General features: G+C 34.7%; 1 long non-coding RNA gene across 3 annotated transcripts in view; it reads right to left on the bottom strand.

Annotated features, from left to right (window-relative positions):
• Positions 1-13,978, bottom strand: part of LINC02987 (long intergenic non-protein coding RNA 2987) — a 231,539-nt gene that overhangs the window by 55,863 nt on the left and 161,698 nt on the right. The window contains exons 3-5 of one of the 3 annotated variants that reach the window (NR_146734.1): positions 12,831-12,905; positions 5,741-5,841; positions 2,933-2,968 (exon numbers count right to left, since the gene is read on the bottom strand). This is a non-coding gene — a long non-coding RNA (long intergenic non-protein coding RNA 2987). Of the gene's footprint in view, positions 1-2,932; positions 2,969-5,740; positions 5,842-12,422; positions 12,906-13,978 lie in introns of those variants that run through there. The other 2 variants (NR_146733.1, NR_146735.1) reach the window with 2 other exon arrangements.

Raw genomic sequence — 13,978 nt, 5'->3', positions numbered from 1 at the left:
TCAGGAGATCGAGACCATCCTAGCCAACATAGTGAAACACCGTCTCTACAACAAATACAAAAAAAAAAAAAAAAAAATTGGCTGGGCATGATGGCACATGCCTGTAGTCCCAGCTACTCAGGAGGCTGAGACAGGAGAATCGCTTGAACCCAGGAGGCAGAGGTTGCAGTGAGCCAAGGTAGTGCCACTGCACTCCAGCCTGGGTGACAGAGAGAGACTCCGTCTCAAAAAAAATAAAAAATAAATAAAATAAAATAAAATAAATAAATAAATGTGAATGAGATTCAGATTCCCTAGTCTTTTTCTCTTAATAATTACTAATTAAAAAGTATTAATAATAATATAATAATGACTATCAATTACTGATAATAGTATAATTATTCTCTTTATCATCATTTTCTCTGTATTAGATTCTCATGATATATTTATTTATTTTAAGTAGTTTGAATTAAAAACTTAATCTGTCTTTTTATTTTCAAACAGGCCAGTCTTTGATGAACTTAAGAGGTTAATACAACTAATACATTTTGCCTGTTTAATAAACCAATGGTTCTTGCAATGTGCTCTGTGGACCTCTGGAGATCCCCTAGACCATTTTTCATGAGGCCCAAGCAGTCAAAACTGTTCTGATAAAAATACTATTTCAGCCTGAGATATGGAATCAACATAAATGCCCATCAATATTAGACTGTATAAAAAATGTGGTACATATATACCATGGAATACTATGCAGGCCATTTTTCATGAGGCCCAAGCAGTCAAAACTGTTCTGATAAAAATACTATTTCAGCCTGAGAAAGCTGATTAAAAATAAAAAATAAATTAAAATAATTTTTAAAAGGATATGAAGGCATTGCCTGCTTTCTCACTGTGACACTTGCCATGATTTTATAAAAGCAAAAGTGGGTGAAATAGCTGGTTTTTCAGCATAAATCAAGGTTTCTCAGCATAAATCAAGGTGATCAAATTACACTAGAAGTCATTCTATTCTCCACAGCCCCTTACAGTTAAAAAAGAGAGCCTGATTTAGTTAAGAATGTCTTTGATGAAGCAGTAACAATTAATGGTATTATTAAATCTTTGCCTTCCTATTTAATACTCTGAATAAGTGGAAAGTTAACAAGAAGCACTTCTTCTTACTGCAGTATGGTTGTGTTAAGAAAAAGAAACAATGATTTAAATGTAAACTGAATAATCACTTTTTTAAATAAAATATTGTTTTTATTTAAAAGTACAACTGACTATCATTCTCAAAAATGAATAAAGTAAGCCTTTTACATCAATGAAAAATAAGTGTTCCCCTATTGGTGAAAGTGTAAATTAGTTCAACCATTGTGGAAGACAGTCTGGAGATTCCCCAAAGACCTACAGACAGAATTACCATTCAACCGACCAATCCCATTACTGGCTATATACCTAAAAGAATATAAATCATTCTATTATAAAGTCACACGCACACATAGGCTTACTGTAGCACTATTCACAAAAGCAAAGATATGAAATCAACATAAATGCCCATCAATGTTAGACTGTATAAAGAAAATGTGGTACATATATACCATGGAATACTATGCAGTCATAAAAAGAACAAGATCATGTCCTTTGCAGGAATATGAATGGAGCTGGAGGCCATCATCCTTAGCAAACTAACACAAGAATAGAAAACCAAATATCACATGTTCTCATTGGTAAGTGAGAGCTAAATGATGGGAACACATTAACACATAGAGGGGAACAACACACACTGAAATCTTTTGGAGGGTAGAAGGTGAGAAGAGGAAGAGGATCAGAAAAAATAACTAATGGGTACTAGGCTTAATACCCGGGCAGAGAAATAATATGTACAACAAATCCCCATGACACAAGTTCACCTATGTAACAAACCTGCACATATACCCATGAACTTAATATAAAAGTTAAACAAAAAAAGAGAATAACTGTTCTCAATGATAATAGTCAAGCTTTCAGGCTAAAACCCAGAACTTTGGAAAACACACTCCTACCGTAAACTCGACAGCTTCTCAATACTTAAAGAGCTCTTAATAAGACATGGTGATACTAACAAAAGTGAGTTTTTGACACAACAAAACATAAACCATTATTTCCCAAATAACCAATGCATACTCTTATACAAGCAAGCATGGGGGAAAGACCCATTTACTGCACAAGAAAAATCAGTGAGTATTGATGGAATAAATGTATTGATATGCAAAATTCCCCTGTAACTAAGAAACTAGTTACAGGGGAGTTTTGAGGTAGTATTAAAGAACACTCACAATTATCTAAAAACATTAAAGATACACCTTTTAGTAACTATATATTTGCAAAAAGCTTGATCATCTTATTGCTTCTCTAAAAATATTGTGAAGGGAATCCATCTGTCTTCTATTATGCCAAACTTTAGAGGTTTGCAATAATATCAATGCATGACACACTTTTTACTCAACTTTTTATTGTAGAGAAGTTATTTTTCTTTAAAAAATGCTATTTATGTTAACGATATAGTTTTCAGAAAATATTTTTGTTGTCACAACCTGGGTTATTGCTTACTACTGACATCTAGTGGGTAAAGGCCATCAATGCTGCTAAACTTCCTGTAATGCACCAACAAAGCATTTATTTCCTCACAACAAAGCGTTATCTAGCTCAAAGTTATCAATAGTGCTGAGGTAGTAAAATCCAAGCCAGAAGCAGATTTTTTAAAAATCTCAATTTTAATTTCTTACACAGTATATAAACACAGATTCTTTGGGATTCTCAATAAGTTAGGACTTAAAGAGTCTCAAGGGTGAAAGAAAACACAAATAATATGCTTCAATATTTCAGTAGGCACAATACAGCTTATGGTGTCTATAGCTATGAACTAACACTGAGATTGATATTATAAAAAGTAATGAGTTGGAATAACAAGAAAGGTTTTAAAAGAACTCACCTTTTCTTCATGTGATAATATATTGCTAAGGCCACACTACGGAAAGAGAAAAAATCATAACAATGGATTTTATCATTTGTTGGGTCTAAAAACTTTTTTTAAAAGGGGGGAGGAAGAAATTATCCCAGTGGCCCTGAAATTTAAATCTTCTACTTCAGAACAGTACCATTAGGGCACTATATTCTTGTTTTAGTTTTTTGTCTTTTAACAAAAATACGAGGATCAAAATGCTAGGCAATATACTGTTAGAAGACATGTTTCTGTTGATGATTATAATATATAAATAATAACATATTTCCCTGTTAGATGCTCTTCTACCCACAAAACCTTTCATCCCATGCAATTTATACCTATGTGTACATATGCTTAAATTTAAGACATACAGTAGTGTTTTTTTTAAGTTGTTAGGCCCTGCACTTTAGTTGATTTAATTAACTATCTCCTACCCATCCGTGTTTTATGATTTCCTAAAAATTAATGATAAAAGTGTTTTATACCAAATTAAATCATTTACAATAACTTTTGCATAATTCATGTTAGTAAACCTAGGTACACACAAAATCAGTGATAGCTTTCTGAAAATAAGCAGTGCTAACGATAATGCAGCATAGCACTACACAGTATAATATTAAGGGCAGGTACTTTCAATTAGTTTAAGTGAAATATTTATGAACAAGTAAAACTCTTCAGATATATGTTACTGTATTCTTAAGTTGTCTACAGACACTGTGTATTAGGAAACATAAGTTATGTTTTTCCATGTGCCCACAGCATCTAAAATGAGGCTCAAATAATTGAGGGAAGGCAAATCTGAATTTAACAATAGGTTTATATAATATTAGCATGTTTTTAAAAGCCTGTAACATTAGTATCTAAGATGGCTATGTCTATAGTGCTTCAAGAAGTTTTTAATCTCTAAAATAATTTTAAAATCACACAATGTGAAGTTACCTGCTGAAAAGGACCAATGATCTAAATGACATTGAATCCAACACCATTTTACAGATAAGAAAAAGAATGTTTAAAATTGACTTGCCCAAGGTCCCACCAAATAGGAGCAGCTTGTTGTCCTAAATTCAAATCAGGCAGTAGCTCTCAAACTTTGCTGCACGTTGGAATCACCTGAAGAGCTTTAAAAACTGCCTTCTTTTTAACATGAGACATTTTGATTTAATTAGCATTGTGTATAACTTTGAACATCAGGGTGGTTGTTAAAATTTCCCAAGTGATTCCAATGTACAGCAGGGTTTCCGAATGATTGGGTTGGGGTTCAAAGCAGAATCTTCTGAGATGCTTTTATCCATATAAGAATGCCTCACATCCATCCCTATTTTCTTAAAAGGCTTCTGAGTGCCTAGAGTTGAAGGAGAGGTGGAGGTAGGAAGAGGCATGTGATTGCAGACATATATTTTAAGAAAACTTGCGTAAGTAATCAAATGTGGTCCATGCATTCCATTGAGAACAATGCTCTACTCACCTATATAAAACATTTTCCAAAATCTGTTCATAAACCCATTTTGCCCTATTAATTTGCTCAATAAACCTTTATGTTACCAATAGTGAATATACCAAGTGATAATTTCTCAAACTTGCTGACAGAAAATTAAAACTTACTACACTTCCAAAAGTAGAATTCTAAAAATTAGAATGATGGAGGAAAAAAACATAAACTTTATGAATACTTGTTTGAGCAAGATTAATCTTTAAAACTACTTTTGAATTGTATACTAACATATTACAATCTTTTGAATAGAAGCCAGGGACTCTAGCCAAAGTACAGTAATTTTTTTTCCCAAGGGTTTAGAGACTTGGCTGAATACAGAAGTTTAGGGATTACTTAATAGGTCACAAAGCTTAAGACTTTAGACAGAGTTTGAGTCAAGTTTTTGCTGAAACACAATTTTATCTCAACCACTGTTAGAAGTGAGATAGAAAAGTGACATTATCATGAGTGTAAACTTCCTACTTTTAATTAAAATAGAAGTTACTGACAATTGGTTTGGCTAGGAAAGCTAGTGCATTAGAAACAAAATTGTTTATAAGCTAGCTATGTTTATAGAATGAAAAGTAAAACTGACAACCATCCTCTTGTGAAGAAAAAGAAGTACAATGAAAGATAAAGACATTAATATTCTAAATTAGCACTTTCCAAACTGTGTTCTAAAACTGTGTTCCAAAAATTAAACGCTCATAATCCAAGCAGATGATAATGATGTTCTCTAGACAACCCCAACAGAGCTGGTGTTGTTGTTGTTGTTGCTTTTAAAATAAACTTGAAAGGCTCGTCTTAGGTTGTTCTAAAAGTGCATCTTCACTTGTGCCCTATGAGGTATTCATGCAAAATGAAGGGAAGTCAAATGCAGATACACTACGGTGCCAGTAGAGAAAAAGTTGTTCTTTCTTCCAAGATTAATGTCAAAACTAGTACACATTGATTGATTTAGGCCTGTAACTCATAAGAAACCTTTTTTTGGGGGGAAAACATCCTATAAAGGACACCTATCTTACTCATTGTGTTCAACATTGTCATAAGGCATAAAAGCATCAAATAAATAACTATACTTTTCCAGGGATTGATTATTTGCTAACTAATTTTCCCTTCCAACGTGAAATCTAAAGTTAAAGGAGAAACTGAAAATTAGTATTTTTTTGAAAACTAATATATAGAATCAGAAATCAATATATAGTTGACACCAGTTTCTTAAACTGATTGCCCAAAAGGACAATCAAACGGCTGAAATAACCGAGGATGGCTAGGATGATCTTAGAATAAGGGGCTGTGTCCCTTGACATCATAGTTGTACTCACGATTTTACTATGATTGTAAGATGAGGCTGGCTGGCTGTGCTGTCATCTAGGTATATGGTTGAACACGAGCTGTACTTTTTAGTAAAATGCTTAGTAGATACCTGAAGGGGAAAGGAAATAGAAGAAAACATCACAGTAAGTTAAACCTATAAAAGTGTATTTTTTCCCATTGGTTAAAATGTCAAATGACAAAGTACTAAGGTACTTCTTACACTTCGTGAACTGAGTGTGGACTTATGTGCACTCCATAGGAAACCCATTGGAGGCTCTTAAATTCAATAGAGGATGTTTGAGAAATGGGTTATAAAAGGCTGCCCTTAATATGGTACCTATCATCAGACCTGGCAAGCGTCTATTGTGAATTCCCCTTCTTTATAAATGAGAAATGTTTAAGATGTCAGTGTTTTTAAAGCAATATAAAGCAGCTGAGATTTTCTATTATTTACTTACTGCAATAAGCTGTAATGCATTAAATAATATTGGCACAAGAGCATTTTATTGCAATGAATGAAGACTAATGCTACATTACTAAGTTACTAATCCTAAATGTAATATTCCAGGAGACAGTGGGACAAAACAAGTGTTTTAGATTCAGAGGCTCTGTGTGCCAGGGCTGCTCCATAACCAACAACAGAGAAAGCCATAGCATTCTCTAGTCCTGTTTTCTTACATAGAAGATAAAAAGACTATCACTTTAATATTCTCTCACATCCTGAAAACAGATAACAAAGACAACTCTACGAATTTAACTTTCACTTCATGTTTCAATAAGACTGCCAGGACATCACTCAAATGAGACTCTCGGAGAGTACTTTCCATTCATTTCCAAAGTTGATTCATTTTATTCTACAAGTCATTTGACCTGCGCATAGGCATTTTCCTGCCACACAGTTTCCTGCTGCTCTCTGCCTAGGATTCTTTTTCTTTGTCCCAGCAAACTTGACCCCATTTACCCTCTGTGATTCCTTTGCCAGCAACCACACCACAGAATATTTCCATTTTTGTAAACTAGTCAGTCTAATTCACAACTTGTCACATGATACCAATTCTTACAGAGTATTCCCCTCATAAGAAAGTAGGTCTTTCCAAGGAAGGGAGAGTCCTTTCTTCTCTACCTGGAGATGCTGAGCACAGAATTTTGGACAAGTTTAAAAGTTCAACAAGTGCTTGACAAATTAATTAAATCAGTTCCAATTTGGAAGATAAATCTTACTATATTTAATTATATCAAATACAGTAACAATTTACCATTTATAGGTATTATTTCAGGTAGTCAAAACTAGAAAGGAACAAATTATCTTCATTCAGTCAGCATAAATACCAAGAATATAAAATTTTACAAACTTTAACACAAAATGGAAAGTGTTACTTAGTATTCTTAAGGTTGAATAATGAAGACTAGAAAATCATCATACCTTATAGTTTAGTAAGCCAAAACCAAAACATTACCATCAAAGGTCCAGTATCTGTTGAACTCCTATACTGACTTTTTTTCATTGTACCTGCTGCCTTTTGTTTTAGCCCATTGAAAATTCTAAAGTTTACTTCTGTCTCTCTCCTTTTTGGGAGGACAAATTTTAGGTATTTTTCAAAAAATTAACTTTTTTTTTTTTAGACAGAGTCTCACTTTGCTGCCCAGGCTGGAGTGCAATGGCACAATCAGAGCTAACAGCAGCCTCAAACTCCTGGGCTCAAGTAATCCTCTGCCTTAGCCTGCTGAGTAGGTGAGACAACAGGGACATGCCACCATGCCTGGCTAATTTGTTTTTTAATGTTTTTGTAGAGATGCAGTCTTGCTATGTTGACCACGCTAAAAATGAACACATTTTAATTTAATACTTCTAACACTTTGGGCATTAATGAAAACAGCTCCATTTATAGTGTGAAGTAATGGAACAATATGGCAGGGTATAAAATTTGAATAGGAATACTAAACAAGGGCTGGCCACAGTGGTTCACACCTATAATCCCAGCACTTTGAGAGACCAAGGCAGGCAGATCACTTGAGGTCAGGAGTTCGAGACCTGCCTGGTCAACATGATGAAACCCTGTCTCTACTAAAATTTAGCCGGGTACAGTGGTGGGCGCTGTAATCCCAGTTACTCAGGAGGCTGAGGTGGGAGAATCGCTTGAACCTGGGATGTGGAGATTGCAGTGAGGTGAGATTGTACCACTGCACTCCAGCCTGAATGATAGAGTGAGACCTTGTCTCAGAAATAAAAAGAAAATTTAAAAAGGTAATGGTATAAAAGTGTAATGTTTATTATAAATATATAAGTAAAATTATCTGGATTAATATTAATTATATTGAAATTAAATTATAATTTACACTTTAAATATAGGTCATAAATTTGGGTTAAATGTAATAGATTGACCATAAATTTATTCCCTCTCTCCTGAAATTTCATTAGAATTACTCATATAACTCAAGTTATATGCAGGACCAATAGGGAAGATTGACACTGATGATTTTTAATAAATGCTGAATTATAAAAAGTAGATAATGGAGTGGTAACTGGCATGGTAGCACAACTTTGGTGCCTACAAGAAGTGACTGGAACAGAAACAAGCAAGCCAGTTTGTCTTCCAGAACCCAAGGCAGACTTCAACTTAAAGGGAAATGGCATCTCTGAAAGTAGGGTGAGACATAAAATAAAAGCGAGCGAGGTCAGTTGAAAATCTGTGGTTAGATCCCCAAGTCTACCTGTCCTTCCATCTTACAAGGAATTTAAATGTGTGTTCTCTGGATATATAAAACCTGAAATTTCTGGGTTCAGAGATACCATAGCTAAAACCTGAGAGATGGAAAAAAACTGTACAGCAAGAAACACAACTCCACCTCTGCTTCTGGAAAGCAAGTAGCCATGCTTTTACATCCCAGGCAGAAAATTGGGAGAGCCTTCTCGGAAGGAATGGAATGGTCCCAGAGTAAAGATCCCCAGATAATACACTGAAGTCCCCCAAATGAAATGCTGGCTTCATTTCCAAAACCTCACAGTGAGTCTCCTTCGTGAACAGAAGTCCTGCTTCCAATGAAAGCCAAGGACCACCATTCAAGAGAGATCAAAACAACAGGAAAAAATAATTCATGGGACCAGTAAAAATTTTGGAGCAAAACTTTAAAAAAATGCCCTCAACAAGAGAAACATGAGAAATATTAAACTATAAAGTAAAAAAATATCCAAGAAGTAGAATGAAAAGACAAACTGGAAAATAGGAGGGGGTGGGGGATTAAAAACCAATGCGGATACAGGAGTCTAAGCAGCCCAGCATCTGAATAACAAGAATATCAGAAAAATTTAACAGAGAAAATAGAGAAGAAAAGAAATTCTCTAGAAGAGATAATCTGAAGACTTAGTAGCCCCAATAAAGAGAAAAGATCCCCACACCAAGCTGCATTATAAAATTTCAGAATCCCAGAGAGAAAGAAGGTCCTGAAAAGCTTCTAGAGATATGTAAAACCCGGTTACAAATAATGTATCACACAATGGCAACAGATTAAAAAACAATACTATAATAAGAACACAATTACAAAATACCTTTAGAACTGTAACATTTAGTTTCAACCTAAATTTTTTTTTTTGGCTAATAGTGTATTCAGAAGTAATTTGTATAACAATAACACAAAGAAGAGGGTAGAGAACAGAGCTATTTAGAAGCAAGATTTTATATACTACTGAAATTAACTTGGTATTAATTCTAACTATATTGTTATAAATTGAGTTATTTCTATTAGTATGCATTTTAGTTGTTTGCAACCTAAAATTTTATACTGTATCAAAGAAGAAGGGTTTTAAGATTGGCTGGGTCTCTAAACATGTTCCCATGTGCCCTTTCCCAGGAAAATGTGCTCTAGTACAACTAGAGAAGATAACAAGGCAGAAGGAAACACAGAATCTAGGACTCAGGGAATCTCACAGAAGAGGGCAGTTAAGTGAGATCTCAGAAGACTTTCAAGAGATAGCTTAGAAAAGCAAGCATGTAGCACATCTAGGAAAGCCACTCTACACTGAACTAGGATGACAAAAGGCCAAGGAAAATTGCCCCAAGAGAAATATAAAACAGATGTATTTGAGCTGATGAATATTTTTGATATGCATGTGACAAATATTACAACACTTGGGGTAAGAATAACTGTTAGAGACAGGCAAATGAATATAGTCAGACAATTAATTCTATGCTAAAAATTACAGGATGTGAAAGCAGAGAGACCAGCCAACGGCTACTTACTGCATTTGGCTGGGTAAACTAACATAGGCCAGGAAAAGGATTATCTGGGAGAAGTGAAGAAGTGCTCAGATGCCAGAACTGTTTAAAGGAATGAAGGATACGTAATGAAGATGCACAGCTGAAACACCGTATGACTTAGCAGTAAATAATACTGGCATAAGCAGAATCATGTAAATATTACTGATTTAATAAAAATGTGCTACAATTGGACAAAGCAATGGGAAAAAAATAATGTCATGGTATACCCAGAAAGCTGTGCTTTTACCTGCTATACCAGAAAGTCAATAGACAGTGTGGAAAATTAACTTAGTTATTCTAATTTTGTTGTTTGATTTATTTTAAGATTAAATAAAGATCTTTATACCAACCACATTCTTAAAATTTAACTTGCATGTCAGATCCTTTAAAAGATGGACACACTAAGCTAAAGACTTTTCTGCATAAATCTGATACTTGGAAAGATAGAAGAGATTTACAAAGTCCACAAAGAGAGTTCCATGCTAATAACACTGGGTCCTCATTTTATTTTTAAGGAATCAAGATAGACATATTTTACTTCAAACTATGAATTTCTTAACTTTGTGACTATTTACTTACATGGTTCATGTCGTTGCTCTTTCTCTTTTCTTGAACTAAGAATAAAAAAAATCAGTTCTGATACAAATATAAAATAAAATAGTTGCTAACATCTGATTGATTATCTCTATGTAAATGAGACAAAATTCCATTTAAAAATAATTTCCAACTATTTATAACTTAAATTATAGGGCCTAATAAATCTTATAAAGTAAAATCTAAAAATTTGGCTTTACTTTTTGTCCTAACAGATATTCTATTACATTCATAACCAGGCATGGTGGCATGCACCTGTTATCCCAGCTACTTGAGAGGCTGAGGCAGGAGAATGACTTGAATCAGGAGGCGGAGGTTGCAGTGAGCCAAGATCGCACCATTGCACTCCAGCTGTGGGCGACAGAGCAAGACTCCATCTCGGGGTAAAAAAAATATCTATCTATCTATCTATCTATCTATCTATCTATCTATCTATCATCTATCATCTATTCTATTACAGTCAAATGAAAGAATGCTCATGTACAAAAAAAGGGGCATAACAAATTAAGCCAGATGAGAAATTTAGCTAATAAATAAGTTTAACAACTGTTGCATATATGAGCCATGATTCATTGGTATTTTCTCACTCTGTGTTTACACATGGCTTACTTTAATTACTAGAATCTAAGAGCTAGCAGCTCTAAGAACTAGTTCCTGGCAAGGTACAAATCTGTAGATGCACCAGAATCCCTGTAAGCATCTCAAACCACTTATTGGTCATCTACTAATATGTCACTAACAAAAAAAATGTGTCTTTGCACAACTGGAAAGTAACCTATCTTACATTTAAATTTTAAAATGAGTATGCAAACTTAATTGGACATAGTATCTGCAGCAAACAAAATCATTTTTTTTTTCTAACAAAGGCCAGAATAATAAAAGCTCCAAGAGGGACTTGGGCCATGCTTTGTTTCCTACACTGCCTCCTCCTTTGATGCTGGAAGGCCTTAAAGGCAAACATTCCTACCACTGAAGACTTGAGGGACAGGAAATAGCCTTCAGGGCTTCCACACACTCTGTGAGAAGCCCATGGCTCTGGAAGGAACTGAGAAATACAATTCTTATATGGTTTAGATATTTCGCCCCCTCCAGATGTCATATGAGAATGTGACCCTCAATGTTGGAGACAGGGCCTCCTGGGAGGTGTTGGGGTAATGGCAGTGGATTCCTTATGAATGGCTTGGTGCCATCCTCACAATAATGAGCAAATTCTCATTCTGGTAATTTACATAAGAGCTAGTTAAGAGTGTGGCACCTTCCCCCTTCCCCTCTCTCTTGCTCCCTCTCTCATGTGAAACCACCTGCTCTCCCTTTGCCTTCCATTATGATTGTAAGCTTGCTGAGGCCCTCAGCAGAAGCAGGTGTTGAAGCTATGTTCATAAAGCCTGCGGAACTAGGACCCAATTAAACTTTTTTAAAAAATAAATTACCCAGACTCAGGTATTTCTTTATAGCAATGCAAAAATGAACAAACACAAGTCCTGACCAGAGATGACTGACTTAAGGCAGGCAAAATCCACACAAACCATAAAAGCACAATTAGAAACCCAAATTTTATTGTACTGCATTACTTCAAATATTATTATAGAACCCTCATTTATATTCTTGCTGTTGAAATCAACTAAAAAACTTGGTTGTATATGGCTTTTTAATCAAATAAACTAGGATTTACCATAACATTTAAAATATAAGCAGGAGTACTGGATGTTTAAATTTATATTACATTAGCAGGAAAAGTTTAATAGCTTAAAAGTTTTGAGTAGCATAAACTTGGATGTGATAAGCTCATATGGTTAAAGCACTGTATAAGAGGAGGCTGAAATCACAAATTCAATCCCCATTGATGAACAAATGGTTTTTTTATTTGTTTAAATAAAGATCAAGCTGAAGCCTAAATTCTATCATTCATCATTAAAATGAACTCTTTGGAGCAAGGGAAAAAGGGCGAAAGACAAAAAATATGAATAAAAAATTATGAATAAAGATAAATCTATGACTACTCTTAAATCACATGACAAATGGTGTTGCCAAAAGGTAGCAAAATGTATAAACAGAAAGTTTACATGTTTTCACTCACACAGTAACAACTAAAGAGAAGTATTTCACACATTAAAATAGGACAAGTGAATATATGAAAAGTTGAAAATTTTAAACCAATGTAAGTTTCTCTAAATGCTTTCTATAATACACTCATTATGACAGAGAGTTTTCAGTCGTCTTCTTGGTGGAAAAAACAGTGTCGTCTCACCATCTGTTTGAGATTTTTGCAAGAAGACTGTGCTTGCCCTTGGATCATCAGAAGGGTTTGGCTCCAAAGCTCTATCTACAGAGAAAAAAAAATGTGATAATTTATGCGAATAGAAAAAATGATTTTTAAAGTAGCTACACATTCATTTCAATCATTTTAAATAGTCCTGAAAAAAGTTTCTAGTAATAAATATGAAGGAAATAAAGGCAAAAATATAATAATTCTACTTGGGAATGCAAAATTATAGCCTCTCTGTATACATATGGAATAAAACTGGGCTATGTCAAGGACTTTCAAAAAGACTAAAACTAAATAATCTAATGCAAAAGAGAAGTCATATACATGCCCTGCTCCTTCTGCTGCAAAACTCTGCTCCTTAGTTCAGCTAAAACCAGGTTCTTGTCACACGACCAAGAAAGATTAGTCTCAAGGACACATTGAAGGGTGAGTAGAACAGAATTTATTTGGCAAAAAGGAACAAAAAATCTCAGAAAAGCGAGAGGGGATCCTTCCAGCGGGCTCCCAACTCACAGACTGAATACCAGGCCACCACACACAAGCTGAAGAGGCCAGGCTCCTCCCCACTGCACAAGATGCAAACTTCCCGTGACCCCACCCCATTCTCCCAGTGCACAGGCAGGTCACAGATTCTCCGGACACCCTCCCCCTCATCTGCCTCCTGCATCTACCACTTCTACTTATCAAATAAAAATATAATCACTTGCCTCTCTACTGATATTCGCAGCACATTTTAGGAATAGGCTCAAGCAGCAACTGATGCTGTGTGAAATTACTGTCAGACATTAGCTCAATATATCAAACATGCTAAAATAAAGAGCTGTTTTTTGGCCACTATCCCTCAGAAAATAACATGGCTAATTCATTTACTTATCTGTGATTTATTCAGGGGCAATTCATCATGGCAGATTTAAGTGGACTGCATAAAAATTTCAATGCTCTAATCTATAAGGACACTTTCATGTCAGAAAATGATTTTTAACTTTTGCCCTCCATTTCCAAAGCTAAAATCTCACTTCTTTCCAACACATGATTCATTTGGGACTTCATCAAGAATACTTTTGAAACAGATCTTACTTAGACCTTCTTCTAAAAAATGTTGGCCCTATGTATGTCAAGGTAGGTCTGTT

This window comes from Homo sapiens, chromosome 19, assembly GCF_000001405.40.
Source record: "Homo sapiens chromosome 19, GRCh38.p14 Primary Assembly".
NCBI classification, from domain to species: Eukaryota; Metazoa; Chordata; class Mammalia; order Primates; family Hominidae; genus Homo; species Homo sapiens.
This window is presented reverse-complemented; position numbering and strand designations above follow the sequence as displayed.